The sequence below is a fragment of the Homo sapiens genome, chromosome 11, assembly GCF_000001405.40.
Source record: "Homo sapiens chromosome 11, GRCh38.p14 Primary Assembly".
Taxonomy (NCBI): domain Eukaryota; kingdom Metazoa; phylum Chordata; class Mammalia; order Primates; family Hominidae; genus Homo; species Homo sapiens.
Genome location: NC_000011.10, coordinates 113,686,772 through 113,708,210, shown reverse-complemented (window position 1 = coordinate 113,708,210; position 21,439 = coordinate 113,686,772). Strand labels below are relative to the sequence as shown.

At 49.2% G+C, this 21,439-nt stretch overlaps 1 protein-coding gene across 7 annotated transcripts, besides 2 other annotated features; it reads left to right on the top strand.

Moving 5' to 3' along the window:
• The first annotated feature begins 1,902 nt into the window (after positions 1 to 1,902).
• On the top strand, positions 1,903 to 20,661 carry TMPRSS5 (transmembrane serine protease 5). Of its 7 annotated transcripts, none has more exons than NM_030770.4 (13): positions 1,903 to 1,989; positions 8,043 to 8,145; positions 8,518 to 8,616; positions 9,184 to 9,306; positions 10,793 to 10,928; positions 11,240 to 11,353; positions 12,768 to 12,811; positions 13,571 to 13,733; positions 14,962 to 15,140; positions 17,272 to 17,370; positions 17,838 to 17,980; positions 18,294 to 18,446; positions 19,937 to 20,661. In NM_030770.4, the coding sequence occupies exons 1-13, from the start codon at positions 1,987 to 1,989 to the stop codon at positions 19,949 to 19,951; spliced, it is 1,374 nt and encodes a 457-aa protein (NP_110397.2). In that variant the 5' UTR covers positions 1,903 to 1,986; the 3' UTR covers positions 19,952 to 20,661. The 7 variants fall into 7 exon arrangements, 5 of the variants coding, with proteins under 5 accessions (NP_110397.2, NP_001275680.1, NP_001275679.1 ...); NM_001288751.2 differs by having other exon boundaries at positions 8,043 to 8,249; NM_001288750.2 differs by lacking the exon at positions 8,043 to 8,145.
• Positions 16,943 to 18,142: an enhancer, noted in NCBI's record as "MED14-independent group 3 enhancer chr11:113560791-113561990 (GRCh37/hg19 assembly coordinates)". NCBI's record gives its function as "activates an origin of replication core promoter dependent on BRD2, BRD4, P300/CBP and CDK7 cofactors, and independent of MED14, by STARR-seq in HCT116 cells {active_cell/tissue: HCT116}" and the evidence as "EXISTENCE:reporter gene assay evidence [ECO:0000049][PMID:35650434]".
• Positions 18,370 to 18,871: an enhancer, noted in NCBI's record as "H3K4me1 hESC enhancer chr11:113560062-113560563 (GRCh37/hg19 assembly coordinates)". NCBI's record gives its function as "activates a minimal SCP1, AML or CMV promoter by ChIP-STARR-seq in primed H9 embryonic stem cells {active_cell/tissue: H9 hESC(primed)}" and the evidence as "EXISTENCE:reporter gene assay evidence [ECO:0000049][PMID:30033119]".
• Positions 20,662 to 21,439: the final 778 nt, after the last annotated feature.

The following is a 21,439-nucleotide window of genomic DNA, read 5'->3' as shown; positions in this document are numbered from 1 at the left end:
TTTAATTACCCTTCTTTGTGATTGCTTTGTCACTTCTCAAAACTCAGTTCAAATGTCTCCTCCATTGCAAAGCCCTCTTCTTTGTATCCTCAGGGCAGCTATTCCTCTATTCTCCTATACCTCTGGGTTTATGTCTTTGTTATTTCACTTTTCATAATAACAGTTACTTACATCTGTTTCTATCCCTTTTTCCAGTCTGTAAGCACCCAGTCTGTGACTTGTTCATCCTCCATGCCCAGGCTAGTTTCTGACACACGGTAGATATTCAGGTTTGTAGTCTGAAGAGTATTGTCCTAGGAGACCTCAGAGCCTAGCCAAGGGCTTCTGAGTTCCAGCCACCATTTCTCTCCTTCTTCTATAATTCACAGCTGACCTCTATCTCTTCATTGTCTTATGTGTGCTCTGGTGTGATGAGAGTAAGTTCAGAATTGACACACTGAGTGTATGATATGGTTTGGATCTGTGTCCCAACCCAAATCTCATGTCAAATTATAATCCTCAATGTTAAAAGTGGACTCTGATGGGAGGTGATTTGATCATGGGAGTGGATCCTTCATGATCAAGAAACCTTCATGATTCATCATCCACTTGGTGCTATTCTCGTGATAGAGTTCTCATGAGATCTGGTTGTTTAAAAGTGTGTGGCACCTCCCCCTTCTCTCTCTTGCTCTTGCTCCTGCCATGTTAGAGGCCTTGCTCCCCCTTTTTCTTTCACCATGATTGGAAGCTTCCTGAGGCCTCCCCAGAAGCAGAAGTCACTGTGCTTCCTGTACAGCCTGTGGAACAGTGAGAACTTCTTTTCTCTTGAAATTGTCCAGTCTTAGGTATTTATTTATAGCAGTGCAAGAATTGACTAATACAGTGTATGAGGAAAATAGGGAGCAAAAAGTTAAATCCTGTGTGGGTGACATTCAGCAACAACAACAACAACAACAACAACAATAATAATAGCAGCTACTGTTTGCTGAATACAGTCTGTGCTAGACACCAGGCTATGGGCTTTATAGGCAATATCTCAATGAATTCTGACATCAACCCTATGAGGCATGTACTATTATCCTCATTTTACAGGTGAGGCTGAGTAAGGGAAGTGGGAGAACTGAGGTTGGATGAAGGCCTGACTCTAAAGCCTATATTCTTAACTGTCCCTTCTGAGGGGTTTTTGAGCAGCCAGTTGGAGGAAAGGAAGCCCCACCTGTGTTTGCCTTCCCCAGGACCTATTCTGCCTCCTTGTCTAAAGAGATGTGCCTGCTCCCAGGTGTGTTTAGCCCCGTGTGGGCTCACTTGGGTCACCTTGTGCTTTGAAACAAGATAGCACTGAGGGCTCCTGCTGCAACTGGCTCCCAGGGCAGACAGGGGTAGAGGCCCCACTTCCCTGGCATTGGGGAGACAGATGTGGCCCTCGGGCAAGAGGTGACAAAGATCTTCCATCATCACCCCAACAATTCCAACATGGTGACAGCCCCAGACTGCTAGAAAAGCCAACCCACATGGAGGCGAGATAAAATCCAGAGGGCTCAGAAACATTTCAACAAATGCTAATATCGGTCTCTCCAATACAGCTCTGTCAGCAGGAAGGGAGAATTCTGCCAGCATGCATGCATGGGGCACACTTTTTGGCACAAGGGACCTTGTTGCTAAGCAACAGTAGTTGGCCTCCCCTCCTCCCCATAACCTTTTCCTCTGTTTCTGAGTTTCCAGTTAGCAGATGGGAGGGGCTGGGGTTGCCTAGCCCAGCCCAGCCCTTGTCCCCCTTTCCTGCAACAAGGGGCCTATTCATGGGTCCTCAGCAGAGTTCATTGTCTCTGTGGCGCGTGTCTGTGTGAGTGTTGGAGTAGGGATACAGGGAGGGGCCATGTGCGAACCAGGGAGACCTCATCTTCCAACCAAGCTTGCTGGGCTAGCTTTAATCAATGCTGGCCTGAGAACAGGAGCGGAACATTGCCTAGTAGACCCTGAGGCTTTACAACAGTGCCACTGACCCCTATGGTAAGGTTACGTCTCTGTGCCATCCCTGCTGTGGCCTCTCTCTCTTTCTTTCTCTCTCCCTCCTCTGCCCTTGGGATTCTAGGCTGGTGGAAAGAGCCTCCTGAGGCAGCTCTGGTACAGGGGCTGGATCCTAGCAGGGGCCCTGTGTGGCCAATTTCCTGTTTCCTCCCCAGGGACTGCCCTTTATTATCCTCTTTCATCCCTCTTAGATCTATCAAGTGCTTTGCACATATGTGGTGCTCAACAAATCGTTATTACGTTGAACTTCCACTCAAAAAGAGGAGCAAGGAGTCCTGTAATTTTAAAGGCCATTTTTTTTTCTAGGCTAGCACATGAGCTTGGGCAGTTGAATTTTGAGGTGGAGCAGTACATGAGGTGAGGCCAGTTTATTCAGAGGCTGGGTTTAAAGCCAAGCTTCCTTGGTACTGAGGCAGAAGAAAAGACTGGCCATGCCCTGGAATTCTCTCTAGATCAGGCCTGCCTCTCCACTCAGAGGGACATCAGCTCAAGAGCAATCACACAACCCCAGAGAAGAAATCCAAACCTCACCTTCTGTTGCTGCTTCTCTACTATCTTATGGGTGCTTGACTGGCTCTCCCAAGCCTGCTGTCCTGCAGCCTCACTGCCTGTGTCCTGTGAGTCTCATCTGTAGGCACAAGAAAGAATGTGTGTGGTTTGATACAAACCATGACCTCTGTTTCTCCTGGAAAAGCAAGGCCTGCAGCTCTTGGGAGGTCCAGTCCTATAGGTCCTGGGCTGTGGCTGGTGTAGGGAATAGGGAGGTGGGGCTGGTACCTCTTTCTATAGGCAAGATGTTGGGGCTGCTGCGCTGTCTGTGAGCTGAACTGGCATGGGTGCTCTGGGTCCAGTGGAATGATTTTCGGGGCAATTTGGAGGTGACTGACCTAGGTGAGTCTGACAAAGTCTTTCCTTCCTCCTGCTGGAGGGTTAGGAAGACAGTTCAGTGGAGTACGAAGGCATGACTGGGGAGGTTTTGGCGTGAAAAGAACATTTCATGTGACACATGAAAATCACATTTAAGCCAATACTGTCCTGGAGTCAGCATTTCAGGCTTTTATCCTCATTGGGTACAACCCTATGTGTTGACAGGGAAAGATGCAGGGGAGACAGTAGTCTGCAGGGGAAACGGGAGTTGCTTCAGTTTTGAGAGATCTTATCTACCCTACTGGATTATAAATTTTGGGGGGAAGGATCCACAGCTTAGGTGTAGTTCTTATTAATATTATTATACTTAACATTTGTATTGGGCTTTACAATTTTTAAAGTCATTTTAATTCACATTATCTTATTTGTACCTCCCCCTCTGTCTCTCCCTCCCCCCTCCCTTCTTTCCTTCCCTCCTTTAATGTACTTTAACTGAATTCCCACTTTGTGCCAGGCTCTGTGCTTAGCCCTGGGATGCAAAAACCAGTGAGAAAGGAGAGAGAAGGAAGTAAATGAGCACAATATAGGGCCCAACAGGTGCTGTATGCATAGAAGGAAGCTTCCTGGAGAAGTGATGTCTGTGCTGAGTCTCGAAGGGTCAGTTGGAGTCAGTTACATGGGAAAGGGGAGAGCAGATGCAAAGTCTCTCTGTTGTGAGAGTGCCTGAAGGCACTGAAGTATGGCACGTATGTCAGTGTGATCCCAAATTTTGCTGTGGAGGGAGCAAGTGCTGGCAGTGAGGATGGAGAGGTGAGGCCAGGCGAGATCATGGAGGACTTTGTGAGCGATGCCATGGAGCTCCTGTTTGATCCTGAAGGCCACAAAGACTCATGGGGTAGAGATGGGGCTCACATGCTCATATTTGCATTTTAGAAAGATTACTCTGACTTTATGGCATGGAGAATAACAGAGAGAGACAAGATACTCGAGGAGGGAGATTATTCCTTGGAAAGCAGGAGTTATTACTCTTATTTTACAAATGAGAAAATTGAAATTTGAAGAGATGGCCTGAGTTGTCCAAGTTCACATAGTAGGTTGCAGACTTAGCTTTGAACTGTCTGGTGTTTTTTTTAAGATCTTATTTTCATTACTCCTCTTCATGGCTCATGAGCTGCAGACACACATATGACATACTCTGCTCTATGCTTTCTTATCCCTTTGCCTTTGCTGATTCAATCCTCTTTGTCTGGACTGCCCAATGCCCATTATATCAGCTCAAACCCTCTTCATCCCTGTGGGCCTGTCTCAGAGGCTGCTTTTTCTAGGAAGCCTTCTGTGATCACCTCAATGAGAAGTAAGCCCTTATTCTTTTGAATGATGATGGTAGTGTATTAGTCTGTTCTCACACTGCTATGAAGAACTGCCTGAGACTGGGTAATTTATAAAGGAAAGAGATTTAATTGACTCATAGTTCTGCATGGCTGGGGAAGCCTCAGGAAACTTATGATCATGGTGGAAGGGGAAGCAAACACACTCTTCTTCACATGCTGGCAGGAGAAAGAAGTGCAGAGTAAAGGGGGAAATCCCCTTATAAAACCATCAGATCTTGTGAGAACTCACTCACTATCATGAGAATAGCATAGGGGAACTGCCCCCATGATCCAATCACCTACTATGAGGTCCCTCCCCCAGTGCGTGGTAATTACAATTCAAAATTACAATTCAAAATGAGATTGTGGGTGAGGGGAGAGCCAAATCATATCATTCTATCCTGGTCCCTTCCAAATCTCATGTCCTCATTTCAAAACACAATCATGCCTTTCCAACAGTCCCCCAAAGTCTTAACTCGTTCCAGCATTAACCCAAAAGTCCAAGTCCAAAGTCTCATTTGAGACAAGGCAAGTCTCTTCTGCCTATGAGCCTGTAAAATCAAAAGCAAGTTAGTTACTTCCTAGATACAATGGGATACAGGCATTGGGTAAATACACCTATTCCAAATGGGAGAAATTGGTCAAAATAAAGAGGTTACAGTCCCCATGCAAGTCTGAAATCCAATAGGGCAGTCGTTAAACCTTAAAGTTCCAAAATGATCTCCTTTGACTACATGCCTTATATCCAGGTCACGCTGATGCAAGAGGTGGGCTTCCATGGCCTTGGGCAGCTCTGCCCTTGTGGCTTTGCAGGGCACAGCCCCACTTCTGGCTGTTTTCATGGGCTGCAGCTTTTCCAGGCTCACAGTGCAAGCTGTTGGTGGATCTACCATTCTGGGGTCTGGAGGATGGTGGCCTTCTTTTCACAGCTCCACTAGGCAGTGCCCCAGTGGGAACTCTGTGTGGGGGCTCCAACCCTACATTTCCCTTCCATACTGCCCTATCAGAGGATCTCCATGAGGGCTCCATCCCTGTAGCAAACATCTGCAAGGGCATCCAGGTGTTTCCATACATCCTCTGAAATCTAGGTGGAGGTTTTCAAACCTCAGTTATTGACTTCTGTGCACCCGCAGGCTCAACACCACAAGGAGGCTGCCAAGGCTTGGGCTTGCACCCTCTGAAGCAATGATCTGAGCTGTACCTTGTCCCCTTTTAGCCATGGCTGGAGCTGATGCAGCTGGGACACACAGTACCATGTCTCAGGCTGCACAGAACAGGGGGTCCTGGCCTGGCCCACAAAACCATTTTTCTCTCCTGGGCCTCTGGTCTGGTAATGGAAGGGACTGCTCTGCGGGTCTCTGACATGCCCTGGAGATATTTTCCCCATTGTCTTGGTGATTAACATTTAGCTCTTCATTACTTATGCAAATTTCTGCAGCAGGCTGGAATTTCTCCTCAGAAAATGGGTTTTCTTTTCTATCACATCATCAGGCTACAAATTTTCCAACCTTTTATGCTCTCTTTCCTCTTGAACACTTTGCTGCTTAGAAATTTCTTCTGCCAGATACCCTAAATCATCTCTCTCAAGTCCAAAGAGCCACAGATCTCATGACAGTGTGATCTAGAACCAGAAATACCATTTGACCCAGCAATCCCATTACTGTGTATATACTGAAAGGATTATAAATCATCTTACTGTAAAGACACATGCACACATATGTTTATTGCAGCATTATTTACAATAGCAAAGACTTGGAACCAACTCAAATGCCCATCAATGATAGACTGGATAAAGAAAATGTGGCACATATACACCATGGAATACTATGCAGCCATAAAAAGAATGAGATAATGTCCTCTGCAGGGACATGGATGAAGCTGGAAGCCATTATTCTCAGCAGACTAACACAGAAACACCACATGTTCTCACTCATAATGGGAGTTGAACAGTGAGAATACATGGACATGGGGAGGGGAACAACACACCCCGGGGCCTGACTGGGGGTGGGGGACAAGGGGAGGGAGAGCATTAGGACAAATACCGAATGCATACAGGGCTTAAAACCTAGATGACGGGTTGATGGGTGCAGCAAACCACCACGGCACATGTATACCTATGTAACAAACCTGCAAGTTCTGTGCATGTATCCTGGAAGTTAAAGTAAAATAAAAAAATTAAAAAAAAAAGAAAGACTATATGTCACATGGTTTCATTTATATGAAACTATAAAAAAGGGAACTCTAATATACAGTGAGAGAAACAGATCAGTGATTTTCCAGGGCTGTGAGTTGGGGAGGAGTTAACTGCAAAAAGGCAGAAGGAAAATTTCTGGGGTGACCTTCATGTCCTATATTTTGACTGTGTTGGTCATGTGGGTGTACACATTTGTCAAAGTTTTGATCTGAGAACTTAAAATGTATGTAATATTTTGAGTGTGCATTATGCCTCAATAAAGTTGAACAAAACACCCCCCCCCGCCAAAAAAAAACCACCAAAGTTCCACAGATCTCTAGGGCAGGGGCAAAATGCTTCACTTTTTTGCTAAAGCATAGCAAGAGTCACCTTTCCTTCAGTTTCCAAGACGTTCCTCATCTCCATCTGAGACCACCTCAGCCTGGACTTCATTGTCCATATCACTATCAGTATTTTGGTCAAAACCATTTAACAAGTCTCTAGGAAGTTCTAAACTTTCCCACATCTTCCTGTCTTCTTCTGAACCCTCCAAACTATTCCAACCTCTACCTGTTACCCAATTCCAAAGTCACTTCCACATATTTAGGTATCTTTACAGCAGCACCAATTTACTGTATTAGTTTGTTCTCACACTGCTATAAAGAATTACTGGAGACTGAGTAATTTATAAAGCAAAGAGGTTTAATTGACTCACAGTTCCTCATGGCTGGGAGGCCTCAGGAAACTTACAATCATGGCAGAAGGGGAAGCAAACATGTCCTTCTTCAACTGGTGGCAGGAGAGAGAAGTGCAGAGTGGAGAGGGAAAAAGCCCCATATAAAACCATCAGATCTTGTGAGAACTCACTCACTATCATGAGAACAACATTTGGGAACCAGCCCCATGATTTAATCACCTCCCACAAGGTCCCTACCCGAACATATGGGGATTACAATTTGGATTACAATTCAAGATGAGATTTTGGGTGGGGACACAGCTAAACCATATCAGGTAGTTTAGCTGAACTTTCCTTCTGTCACTTAACATATAGTGCTTTACATGACTTATCTTCAGGACCAGACTACAGGTTCTTTGACACAGTCAGAGTGGGGAGTGGTCCACGTTGGTTTATTCTGAACTCCCTATAGTGTCCCCTATAGTGACCTGTGCACTTGGACCAAATATCTATGGAATGAATGAATGGGTGGATGGGTGGGTGCATGGTGGAGGGGCACTTCTTCCTCTGAGATAGGAGGGAATGAAGAAGGGTGGGATCTTGAAGCTGAAGGAGTGTGTTGAGGGACTTTAGTAGATGCCTTCAATGTTTATGGAAGATGAAGGAGTGGCTAGGAGTGCAGGCTTTGGAGTGGGCCAAATCTGCATTCAAGTGTTTGCTACTGGCCATGTGAGAGTAAGGTCATTGGGGTTAGGGGCCCCAGGAGGGCACAGGGGAGCCTGGCAAGGTATTTGTGGGAATATACAGGGAGTCTCCAAGATGAGTAGAGGTTTACAAGTGGCAATGGAATCATGGCTGGGGTTAAAGAATGGGGACTTGGACTGGGCTGTGACTTCTCTCAGCAGTCCTTGATGTGGGGATCCTGGGTGTCTGGCCCTTATTTCCCCAGAGCCTGATGCTGGATGACCAACCCCCTATGGAGGCCCAGTATGCAGAGGAGGGCCCAGGACCTGGGATCTTCAGAGCAGAGCCTGGAGACCAGCAGCATCCCAGTAGGCCAGACTGGGCCATAGGGGAATGACAGGGTGGGGACAGTGGAGGGCAATCATCCTACATTCCCCGGATCCTCCTTGGGGTCAGCCCCACATGATTGATGGTGAGAGGCTGTCTCACTCTTTATCCCCAGACCTGCTTCTGCTCCCCATTTCCCACTTTAGGGATTGAGTGGGATTTGTGGGCTTCAGTGATCAGGCCCTCTCCATCCTCCCCTGCCCCCACTCCCTCCCTAATCTGGGCTGATGGGGCAGGAGGAGGTGTCCTGTTGGAGCTCTGTGGGTGCCTAGCCCCATAGTGGTGACTTAGGGTGAAGTAAGGCAGGCTGGCAGGAGCAGGGGACCCAGATACCCCTCTGCCCTTTCCCACAGTTTCTCAGGCAGTGTGCTGGCGTTCCATGCGACGTGGCTGTGCAGTGCTGGGAGCCCTGGGGCTGCTGGCCGGTGCAGGTGTTGGCTCATGGCTCCTAGGTCAGTGCTGGGGGCCTTTCTCTGGTGTGGGGGAGGTTGGAAGGGAGAAGCAGGTGCTGAGCAGGTGTTAAAGGTAAATGGGACAACTGTCTTCCTCAACTACTCTGTGCAGACAAGGGGAGAAAGGGTGAAATTGCAGCAGGAGGGATCTAGGCTCTACATAAAGAAGAACAAAGTGTATGATCCAAGGAGGCCGTAGTCAGACTTTTTCTGGAAATCTTTCCCAGTGAGAGAGACACAGAGAGAACACACACAGACAGAGACAGAGACATACTGAGAGACAGCTAGAGAGAGAGAGAGACAGAGAGAGAGAGAGAGAGAGGGAGAGAGAGAGAGAGAGAGAGAGAGAGAGAGAGAGAGAGAGAGAGAGAGAGAGAGAGAGACAGACAGACAAAGGAGAGTCAAAGAGGCAGAGATAGAGGCTGAGGCCGAGAGAGATGGAGCGCTATGCCCCTCCTCAGCAGGTTGGTTGGGGAGCTGCCTGAGAGCAAGGTGGCTGATGAGGAGGTCAGCACCTTGACACCTTCCTTTGGAAATCAGACCCTTTCTCTTTGTTCTTCTCTAAAGTGCTGTATCTGTGTCCTGCTGCCTCTCAGCCCATTTCCGGGACCTTGCAGGATGAGGAGATAACTTTGAGCTGCTCAGAGGCCAGCGCTGAGGAAGCTCTGCTCCCTGCACTTCCCAAAACAGGTGGGCTGCACCCCTAAGGCTACGGGCCTCCCTCCCCAGCAGGGACCTGTCACAGCTGAGGGCAAGAGAACCGACACTGAAGGGCCATCTGTTCACTGCCAACCATATGTGTTTCCCTCCTCTAGTGTGAGGGCAGTGACAAGGTGTCACCTTGCAGTGATCTCTGATTTGGGGCTTTCAGCACTGCCTGAGGACTGTCCTGATCTCTAGCTGGGGCAAGGTCCGGAGACCAGGCTGGCAGGAGGGATGGAAACTTGCCATTTGGGGCAGAGTGAGCCAGGGACATGGGGGAGGAGGGATCAGGTGTGTGTGTGTGGGAGCCAGTGTGTGACCAGCAGGGCCACCTAGGGACCTGGGAACATCAGCCCACCTCATCCCCACTCTCCCTCTCCTGATTGTCCCCTCCCCTCCAGGTAAGAGTTGGGGATCAGAAGGTACAATGCTGTCCAGAGGCTGGGGCTTAGAATAACCTCATTAGAATAAGGTTGGAGTCTGTCTTTGACTGTGTGACTTTGGGCACATTACTTCTTGTTGCTTCTGTTTCCTTCTCCATAAAATGGAAATATAAATATTTACTGCACAAATTGTTTAAGGATAAAACAAACTAATCTAAGAAAAGATATCAGCACAGAACTTGTGTAGTAGTCTGTTTGGTTTGCCATGACTAAGTACCACAGACCGGGTGGTTTAAACCACATTTATTTTCTCACCGTTCTGGTGGCTAGAAGTCCAAGATCAAGGTGCTGTGGAATTCGGTTTCAGGAGAGAGCTCTTTTCCTGGATTGTAGATGGCTGTCTTCTGCCTGTGTACTCCCCGGGCCTTTCCTCTGCTCTTGAGGAGAGAGGGAGCTCTCTGGTGTCTCTTCCTCTTCTTATAAGGACACTGGCTCTATTGGATCAGGGCGTCACCCTCGTGACCTCATTTAACCTTAATCACCTTCTTAAAGGCCCTGTCTCCAAATACAGTCACATTGAGGGTTGGGGCTTTAACATATGAATTTGTGTGTGTGTGTTTGGGGGCGGGGACATGAGTCAGTCCATAATAGCCTGGAAAAAGCATACACTCAACAACTGGTAATTATTATTATCACAAGATTTGAAATCAGAAGACCTGGATCTAAGTCCTGGATCCATCATTTCCTGACACTGTGATCTTGGGGAAGTTGCTTAAACTCCATGCCTTAGTTCTCCTTCTGCAGAATGGAGAGGATGGCAGTACTCATTGCACAGGGCTGCTGTGACAATGAATGGTAGACCACGCTTAAAAACACATGGTTAAAATAGAAAACTGAAATGCTCTACCAAAAGGGGTGATACTGCTCTTGGGACTGGTCTCACTCTCCGGGGAGCAGGGAACTTGGCACTGGGTGATCCAGATGCTGTCATTAAGGCCTCTTCAAGTACTACAGAATCCTGGGTCCAGCTCTTCCTGTCCCACCCTACCACCACCATCCTCTCCCATGTGGTTTTCATGCTGTGATTTCAGTATCTTTCAGAATAAACAGCGAAGACTTCTTGCTGGAAGCGCAAGTGAGGGATCAGCCACGCTGGCTCCTGGTCTGCCATGAGGGCTGGAGCCCCGCCCTGGGGCTGCAGATCTGCTGGAGCCTTGGGCATCTCAGGTAACAGGAGTTAGATGTGGGTCCTGTGAAGGGGGAGGCCTGGCTGGTGTGGGATGGGAATTGGAGACCTCTACCTGCCCGTCACTGGTCAATGTGCTCAGGAAATGTCAAGAGGTCTTTTTGGCCATCTTCTGGCCTCTGGGCACAATGGTGCCCCAGCCCATTTCTCTGTTTGGAGTATTACTGCTTTTTAACAAGCATAAACCCCAGCAGTAATCATTATCACAGTCTTGCGGTCACTATACTAGTATTATATCTCGTACATATTCCAGTTATGATTTCCTCCTGTTCTATTCCCTTCTTCTGCCAAGACTCACTCACCACAAGGGAGTAAACCTCACTGACATCAAACTCAACAGTTCCCAGGAGTTTGCTCAGCTCTCTCCTAGACTGGGAGGCTTCCTGGAGGAGGCGTGGCAGCCCAGGTAGGACTACTGAGGCTGTTAGGTGAGTGGGGTCCCTTACTTCCTGGTGGTCAATCCAGCAAAAATCTCCTTTCTTGGGATGCCGGTGGGGAGGACACTGGTGGCCTATGATAGGAGGACAAAGAGGAACATTTCCTAGTTAGAAATTACAAACTCAGTTCACATGAGCCCTGTCTGTCACCACTTCACATCTGCTATTTGCCCTTCACAAGAAATGTAGGGTTGGTTATTATTGTCACAAGATTTGACATGGTACTCATCACCATTTTACAGGTTAGGAAACTGAGGCTTAATAAGGTTAAAGAGTCTTGTCCAAGGTCACATAAGTAATAAGCAGCTAAGTCAAGCCTTGAAACCAGGCTCCTGTCTCCAAGCTAAGTGCTCTCTGAATCCTGCCACACATTATTTGGATAATTCGGATATTTCAGGAAAGAGATGGTTGAGTTGCTCTGGCTAAGAGTTGCTTGTAGTCTGGAGAGTCTCCTAGAGAAGAGGGCTGTGGAATGGAGCAGCCCCTTCCCCAGATCCTGGGGATGGTTTGGTATGACTGGGGCACAAGCGGAGAGGGTCTTTGTGCCTTCCTAGGCTTCCTCAATCTGCCTATCAGCCTCCTGGGATAGAAAGGTGGGCACCCCCATTACCACATTTCCAATTTGAACTGTTCCTTCAGGCCCCTCCTGTCCAGCTCCTGTGCTCAGGAATGTGGCTGGAGTTGGGAAGGTTCTGACAGGGTTCTTGTCTTGGATACCTGAATGGGAAAATGGAAGTAGGGGTGGGGCTGACTCCTCCAGGAGAGCCGGGAGGGCTATGGATTTGGGAAACTAGGAGAAACTAAGAGGGTCTAGACATTGGACTGCTAGGGGCAAGAGGTGAGTAAAGAAAGAGAAGAGAGTTTTGGTCAAAAAAGGAACTAAGAGCTAAGAGAGAAGAGGGGAAAGAGGAGAGCAAGAATATGAATATGCAAAGCCCAGGCAGAGGGACCAGGGTGGAGAATACAGCAAACCTAGGAAGGAGCATGGGGTGAAGAACCCTAGTCACCCACACACTCACCTATCCGTTCATTCATTCATTGAGTGTGTATTCATTCAGGACACTTAGTGGGAACAGTGTGGCTTTCTCATCTGTAAACACACTATGTCCCAGTTGATCTGCAAGGACCATGAAGTCCTTCTGTTGCCCTCTGGGAGACTAGGCAGGAGGTGTGCTCCTGTCCTGGGGACCACTGATGAGGAGGGGTCTGAGTGTTTGGGTGGGGGCAGGAAGGAAATGGTGGTATTCTTCAGGCTGTGGCTACATGACAGCCTTAAGAACTGTCCACCACCCCCACCAGCCTCCCCCATTCTTCACGTCCTTGGATGTGTGTGGCTGCAGGGCGGCCCCTGCCCAGCTTCTTGTTGGTACCTCTGTTTTGCAGGAACAACTGCACTTCTGGTCAAGTTGTTTCCCTCAGATGCTCTGGTGAGTCATATCTTGGTCTAGGGGAGGTGGCGGTGAGAGGAAGGGGTGTTCCCCCTGCCTCAAGTGTGGAAGAGCCCTATGGTGAGACTCTGCTGGGCCTGGGGTAGGGGTCTTGCCCACCTGCCCATCTGCCTGCCAGGCCCCTTCTTGCAGTTGCTGTTCTGCCCCAGCCGAACCCTTTCTAAGCCTCCATCATGTCCCTCACCAGCCACAGATCTGGGCTGATGATCTCCTTCCTTCACTACCTGCCACTCTCTTCCTTGGCCTCTGACACCAACTCCATCTTTCTTCTGGAAAGCCCCAGAGGTGAAATTATTATTGGCTATTGAGTGACCTGTTAGCAGCTTCAGGAAACTAAGGGCAGGTGGTGAATCAGGTACCAAACGGGAAGCAATCTGTGGAGTTCCTTTCATTGGTCTTCCCGTTCATCTACCCGTCTCTTCATCTGTCCATTCACACATCCTTCCACACACCAACACTTCGACCTTTACTACAGGACAGGCATTCTGTTAGGTACTAGGGCTCCATTAGTGCAGATACAGTTTCTGCTTTCAGTGGGCCCACAGCTGGATGGGGCAGGCAGGGGTGAAATCAACACTTCTACCTTCCCATCCCCCATACTTAGGACCAGGAATAAGAAAGGAGAGCTGTCCACACTGGCTCTCTGGGGCTTAGCACTGGGCCACGCTTCCTGAGAGTTAGGACCATGCTGACACTCACCTCTCTCTCTCTTTCTATCTCACCCATCTCTGTTGGCAGAGTGTGGAGCGAGGCCCCTGGCTTCCCGGATAGTTGGTGGGCAGTCTGTGGCTCCTGGGCGCTGGCCGTGGCAGGCCAGCGTGGCCCTGGGCTTCCGGCACACGTGTGGGGGCTCTGTGCTAGCGCCACGCTGGGTGGTGACTGCTGCACATTGTATGCACAGGCAAGTCTCTGTGGCTGCTGAGGACAGAGAGCCTCAGTTGCCCTTTCTGTTCGGCTGTTGGTATGTCCTGTATCAAATGTTCGTGTCCAACTGTCTCCAGCTTTTTGCTCCAAAAGGGTAAGACTGGTGTTTGTGAAGTTCTCTCATTCAGTATCAAGAACAGATCTGCACAAATAACAGTAATAATATGAAGATTTGTTCTTTATATTCATCAGTTTTTTTTTTTTTTTTTTGAGACAGAGTCTCACTTTGTTGCCCAGGCTGGAGTGCAGTGGCGCAATCTTGGCTCACTGCAACCTTCACCTCCTGGGTTCAAGCGATTCTTGTGCCTCAGCTGGGCACCACTATGTTCAGCTAATTTTTTGTATTTTTAGTAGAGATGGGGTTTCGCCATGTTGGCCTGGCTGGTCTCGAACTCCTGACCTCAGGTGATCTGCCTGCCTCAGCCTCCCAAAGTGCTGGGATAACAGGCGTGAGCCACCGTGCCTGGCCTCATTAGCTTTTAAGTGTTAAAAATACTTTCACATTCACAGTATCCTGTGTTTCTTCAGGCTTATCTTTGGTTCAATCATTTTCCATGTAATTATTTGGTTAATATGTTTCTTCCCCTTTAGATGGGAAGCTCTGCAGGAGCAGGGACTCTCAGTCTTATTTACCACTAAATCTCTTTGTAGATTTATCCACTGCTGTGTCCCCAGGGTCTAGAACAGTCCCTGGAATATAGTAGGTGCTTAATAAATATGACTTGGAGGAATGAATGAATGATGAGTGAATGAGCTCTTTGATCTTCTCTTGGTGCCGGACAGGGCAGAGAGTGTAATCCCCATTTTACCGAGGCTGAGAGGGAGAAGTGCCTCTCCCATGATCACACACAGTAAGTTGAGAGATGGGACCAGGGGAAGTTTTTCCAACACAAGGCCCTCTATGTGTTTGTTATAAAACTTGGAGGGAAGTTATGCAGGAAAGAGGGAGTGGTGGTTGCAGATGACCCATAGTCTTCTCTATCCATCAGTCCTGCAGCATTTATTAAGCACCTACTGCATGCCCAGTGTCTTGCCGGCTGCTGGGGTGATACTAAGAGGCATAGTCTGTGGGGCCTGGGAGCTCACCGCCTGCTGACGGCCCCCCCACCAATGGCTGCTCTGGCCAGCTTCCTCCACCTGCTACCTTGCTTAGGAACACCTCTTCTGCCCCTTCCTTCCCCGCTCAGCATGGCCCCTGTGTGCAGTTTCAGGCTGGCCCGCCTGTCCAGCTGGCGGGTTCATGCGGGGCTGGTCAGCCACAGTGCCGTCAGGCCCCACCAAGGGGCTCTGGTGGAGAGGATTATCCCACACCCCCTCTACAGTGCCCAGAATCATGACTACGACGTCGCCCTCCTGAGGCTCCAGACCGCTCTCAACTTCTCAGGTGCGGCACTGGCTTGAGGGTGGGCAGGCTGGAGACTATGGCGAGAGAGGGCGGGGGCTGGGTGGGAGAGTGGTGAGCTGATTTCTGAAGTTTCCTCTGAACACTGTAAACCTTAAAACATTCTATTTATTTTGGGACTAGTGAATTTTGGCATCATCTGGTTCTGAAATTGTTATCAACTCTTGTACAGGCTCTTTTGGGAAAAGAGGTTCAGACCCATTTCATGGCTAGGGGGCAGGTGGGCTTTGCCTTGAGGTCTGAAGCAGCTGCCCCATCCACCAATAGGCTGCTCCACCCCTGTCCCCAGGCTAGCCTCGGGTCCTAGCCATTTGGTGCCATGTTACAGTTTATGAGATACATTTTTTCAAATATCTTCTCTTTCAGTCCTCGTAACAACCCTGATAGATAGTTGAAACAGGTAGATACAGACAAGAGCACTGCAGTGCAGGGAGGGAAGCAACTCTCTTCAAGGTCATGTGGCAAACAGTTCCTAAGCCTGATGCCAGGGCTCCTCCTGCTGCTGCACCTGCCCGTGAGCCCAGGCTGGAGCTATACCAGCAGCCACTCTCCCCGACACACACGTGCATGTGGGCATTCACCTACAAACACACACACACATGCACTCACACAGTCATGTGCACATAGACTCACACGTGAGCATTCACACATGCTCACATGTACGTGCTCACATGAACACACTTGCGCACACACACCACACACACAAACATGCACACTGTACACACACATATACGTTCACATATACTTAACACTCCTTCCTCCCGTCATTACCTGTAGCCTTAAGTTTCCCAAATAACAGTCATTGCCATACACATTTCACAAATTGTATCACATACGTGAACTATCGTTCAACAGATATTTCTAAGGCTGGGCATGGCGGCTCACGCCTGTAATCCCAGCACTTTGGGAGGGTGAGGTGGGCAGATCATTTGAGGTCAGGAGTTCAAGGCCAGCCTGGCCAACATGGTGAAACCCCGTCTCTACTAAAAATACAAAAATGAGCTGGGTGTGGTAGCTCATGCCTGTAGTCCCAGCTACTCGGGAGGCTGAGGCAGGAGGATCACTTGAACCTGGGAGGCAGAGATTGCAGTGAGCTGAGATCATGCCACTGCACTCCAGCCTGGGTGACAAAGCAAGACTCCGTCTCAAAAAAAAAAAAAGAAAAAAAAGGAAAAGAAAACTTTCTTAGTTGACCGAAATAAGTGTATTTAAAAGAAAAATACGACTATATTAGTATCTAAGTAGTAGATACTACATGAGTATCTACTGTAGTAGTATTTCTCTTTTAAATATACTTATTTAGTTATAATAAATAGTATATTTACTATATAGTATAGTAAGTAAATAGCATATTTACTATTTAAATATACAAAATAGGTATAGTAAATAGATAATAATTAGTATCTCTAGTTAGAGAACCTATATTACTTACCTAACTAGAGAACCTATGTTACTTATAATAAATAGATCCTAACCACAAAAATATGTAGCATGAAAAGAAATCAGTGTGGAAGTTCTAGGTAGCTGAGTCCGCTGCAGAAGTTGCTGCACCTGGGCGTGCTGTCTCCTGTTTGGTGGGAGGACGGCAGGCAGTAAGAAAGGCACAGACCAGCACCAAATGAAGTCTTTCTCTGTGATGCGGTTAGAGGGACTGAAAGAGAATTGAAAAGGACATGGCGTTCTCCCCAAGTGAATGCTTTACTCAATAGTGTGCCTATGTACTACCTAAAATCATGCATGGCTGCACCCATGGGATATGTCACGTTTTTGGAAACACTGTCCTCATTAGAAGTTGGGTGCCCATGGCCTGAAAGAATTTTCACCCCCACTCCATCCCCAGGTGTGGGGAGGGGGCAGCATGGGTCCTGTCCACCCATAGAGGGCGCCATGCACACTGCAGTTTGCATGCTGTCCTCTGTGACAGGGGACCCCAAAGATGGGACAGTGCCCCACTTGCATAGCCATCTAGGAGGCCTGGCTGGTGGAACCCAGGAGCCAGGACTGTTTGAGAAGGGGGCTGAGGAGGACTTGCCAGTCCTGGGTCCTTCGCCCAGGCTCTGCAGTGGGGGAAGCCAAGCCTGACTGGGGACCAGGACCATGTGCCTCTCTACAGACACTGTGGGCGCTGTGTGCCTGCCGGCCAAGGAACAGCATTTTCCGAAGGGCTCGCGGTGCTGGGTGTCTGGCTGGGGCCACACCCACCCTAGCCATAGTGAGTCAGCTCCCTGGGCCCTCGGTGCAGGGGCGGGTGTGGGAGGCATTCTTCCCCAGGGTGAGGCAAGGCCACATCCCCTGGCCACATGACAGTGCCAGCCCTGTTTTTCCCTGGCATCACCCTTGGTCAGGCCTAGGGTCTCCAGTCTCCCCTGCTTGGGCCTTTCTGGGGAGAACATCTACTGCAAGTTTTCCCTAAACCCAGACCCTTTTACTCCCCCTCCCCTTGTCCCAGGAGCGCCATGGTCTCACATTTGGTGTATGTGTGAGTCCTCCTGCTCTTCCCACTCCCAGCCCCCAAGTCCGATAGCCTACTGCTTCCTTGCTCAGCGTCCACAGCTCCCACCCTGGGCTCGCCTCTTTGGGTCTCCCTGTCTCTGGGACTTCGAATTACCTCCCCTCTTGCTGCTCTGCCTGCCTGGGCCTTGCTTTGTGCCCTGCAGTTTTTCTCGGTGTCTCTCATAGCTTACAGCTCGGATATGCTCCAGGACACGGTGGTGCCCTTGTTCAGCACTCAGCTCTGCAACAGCTCTTGCGTGTACAGCGGAGCCCTCACCCCCCGCATGCTTTGCGCTGGCTACCTGGACGGAAGGGCTGATGCATGCCAGGTGTGGCCTGTGGTGGCTGGGGTGAGGGTGGGAGTGGAGGTGGGGGTGGGAGGGCAGGGGGCCTGCTGTGACTTGGCCCCCTGCCCTGGTCTGAGCTTGTCAGTGGTGTGAGACAGCCTCTCTAGAAGGAGGGGCACCTAGGCAAGTCTGGAGCTCATGCTAAGGGTTTAAGGAGGGGTGAGGCCAGCAGATATCTCAGCTAGAAGCAGGCGGGGCCCAGTAAGGAGATTCCACTTGCCATAGTGGTCTGGTGCTCTCCATCAGGAAGAACTAACTGGCTGTTTCTCTGTGTCTCCATGCCTGGATCCCTTAGGGAGATAGCGGGGGCCCCCTAGTGTGCCCAGATGGGGACACATGGCGCCTAGTGGGGGTGGTCAGCTGGGGGCGTGGCTGCGCAGAGCCCAATCACCCAGGTGTCTACGCCAAGGTAGCTGAGTTTCTGGACTGGATCCATGACACTGCTCAGGTGAGTGTGGGGGCAGGAGTAGGGCAGGGAGATTTCTAAAGGACCTGCCCTCGAATGCAAGGAACCTTACCCCTTAGGCCCGGGCCCTGCTGGGGACTGGGGAGGGTGCTAGGACATATTCCCCAGAGTGAGTGGAGGAAGAAGTGAAGCTTAAACATGGAATCCATTGGATTTCTATCAGTTTAAGGATGAACTGGGTAAGAGTATGCCTGAGTTTGTATCCCAGATCTACCATTTCCTGTGTCGACCTTTGGCAAATTTCTAACTTTGTTAAACCTTAATTTCCTGATAATAACCATGATGGCTACTTATATGCTATTGTTATATGCTATTAAATAAGACCCGTACAATGCCTAGCACAGTGCTAGGCTTAGAGTGAGTGATCTGCAGTGTTTTTTGTTTTTTTTTGAGATGGAGTTTTGCTCTTGTTGCCCAGGCAGGAGTACAATGGTGCAATCTCAGCTCACTGCAACCTCTATCTCCCGGGTTCAAGCGATTTTCCTGCCTCAGCCTCCCAAGTAGCTGGGATTACAGGCATGCACCACCACGCCTGGCTAATTTTTTGTATTTAGTAGAGATGGGTTTCACCATGTTGGTCAGGCTGGTCTTGAACTCCTGAGCTCAGGTGATCCACCAGCCTTGGCCTCCCAAAGTGCTGGGATTACAGGCATGCACCACTGTGCCCGGCCTATCGTGTTATTTATGTGTATATCTGTTACCATCATTCATCCCTGGTCTCTAAGGCAGTTACTAGTGGCCACATTCCCTGCACTGTGGAGAGAGCTCAGCATTTAGCAGTTCGGGTTCTGCACCTACGTAAATTGTGTGACTCCGGGCAAGCCACTCTCCTTCATCTGTTCAATGGGAAGGCCAAGTGAGATAATGTGTATAAAAACACATTACTGGTCGGGTGGGGTGGCTCACGCCTGTAATCCTAGCACTTTGGGCGGCCGAGGTGGGCGGATCACGAGGTCAGGAGTTCGAGACCAGCCTGACCAACATGGTGAAACCCTGTCTATACTAAAAATACAAAAGTTAGCTGGGCATGGTGGCACGCACCCAGCTACTTGGGAGGTTGAGGCAGGAGAATCGCTTAAACCTGGGAGGCGGAGGTTCCAGTGAGCTGAGATCGTGCCACTGCACTCCAGGCTGGGCGACAGAGCAGGACTCTGTCTCAAAAACAAAACAAAACAAAAACATTATTTACCTAAAGTATTTTACAAATTTAGGGCATGATCATGAAAAGCATCTTCCTCTAAGGTTGGGCAGGGGTGGGGGTTGGTAGATAATACATTCGGAGTTTACAGGGAATGTATGTATTGATCTTCTCAAAGAAATCTTACAAAAAATCTTGAGCAGCAGATATTTTTAGCCTCATTTGATAGAAGTGAAAATCAAGGCCCTGCATGGTTAAGTGATTTACTAAAATAAAAGTCGCTTGGCTAGTGTAGAGCCATGCTGTGAATCAGTTCCTTTCCCTTTTGGTCTAGGACTCCCTCCTCTGAGTCCTGCTGTTTCCTCCAGTCTCACTGCACACCACTGCCTCATGCTTCCTGGGGCCTCCAGCAGCTCCACTAATGGAGGAGAGGCAGTAGCCTCCGACACAGAACGCATGGACCTCCTACTACTGTGTGTGAGGAACAGTCACTACCCACTGGCCAGCCACCCAGCCAACAGGTCTCTCCTCTTGGGCCCTGATTTCAGAGTCCTCTTTCTCACTAGAGACTCAATGACAGAAGAGAGGCTGGGACTTGGTTGGGCATGCTGTGGTTGCTGAGGGATGAGGGGGAGGAGAGAGGTAGGAGCTGGAGATGAAGAGGCTGCTAGAAGCAGCAGGAAGCCTGCCCTTCTGCCCTCTCCCCTCCCTGCCCCTGTGTGAGTCTTTTGGGAGGGTGCTGGGAGGTGCCCCCCGTCCCACCTTTTTCCTGTGCTCTAGGTGGGCTAAGTGCCTCCCTAGAGGACTCCATGGCTGAGAGGCTCCTGGGCAGATGGGGTCAAGGCTGGGCCAGCCCAGATGAAGCCTATGGGAGTCAGGACCCTCTCCACTCTCCCTCTCCACTCCCCTTCCTGTTCTCACCTGGCTGTGGCTGGCCCTGTGTGGGGTGGGTACACTGGAAAACAAGAAGGTTGGAGTTGGTCTAGGACATTGGTTTTAAATGACAGTTCTGTGAACTGGTCCAAGGAGTTCTGTTATTAAAGTGATATATGGTCTTGGTCCAGTTTTCTCTGTCTCCTCTCTCTCACTCGCACAAAGACAGACAGACAGACAGACAGACACAAACACATATTACAGGGTAGAATTACAATTTTCCTTCTATCTTCTATACATATTGAAGCTTTGGTGCTGACTCCTGTTCATCTACTTGAGAATTTTGGTTTGTGCTTATTTGTTTTGCCCAGGCTGGAGTGCAGTGGCACCATCTCTGCTCACTGCAGCCTCGATGTTGTGGGCTCAGTGCCTGCCACCTCAACCTCTCTGGTAGCTGGGACTACAGGTGCATGCCACCACACACGGCTAATTCTTCTTTTGTATCTTTTGTAGAAATGGGGTTTGTTTAATTCTTTAAATTTGTTAAATCTATATGTTGGCTGGGCGCGGTGGCTCACCCCTGTAATCCCAGCACTTTGGGAGGCCGAGGCCGGCAGATCACGAGGTCAGGAGATCGAGACCATCCTGGCTAACACAGTGAAACCCCATCTGTACTAAAAATACAAAAAATTAGCCAGGCATGGTGGCGGGCGCCTTGTAGTCCCAGCTACTCGGGAGGCTGAGGCAGGAGAATGGCGTGAACCTGGGAGGCAGAGATGGCAGTGAGCCGAGCCGCACTCCAGCCTGGGTGACAGAGTGAGACTCTGTCTCAAAAAAAAAAAAAAAAAAATCTACATGTCATGATCTGCAATGAAAAGCCTTAGCCATCCAGGTGCTCTGAGATCTTGAGTCTGAGAAGCACTTAAGTCAATGCTCTCTTGGGAAGGTCTGGTTTCCCTGCAAG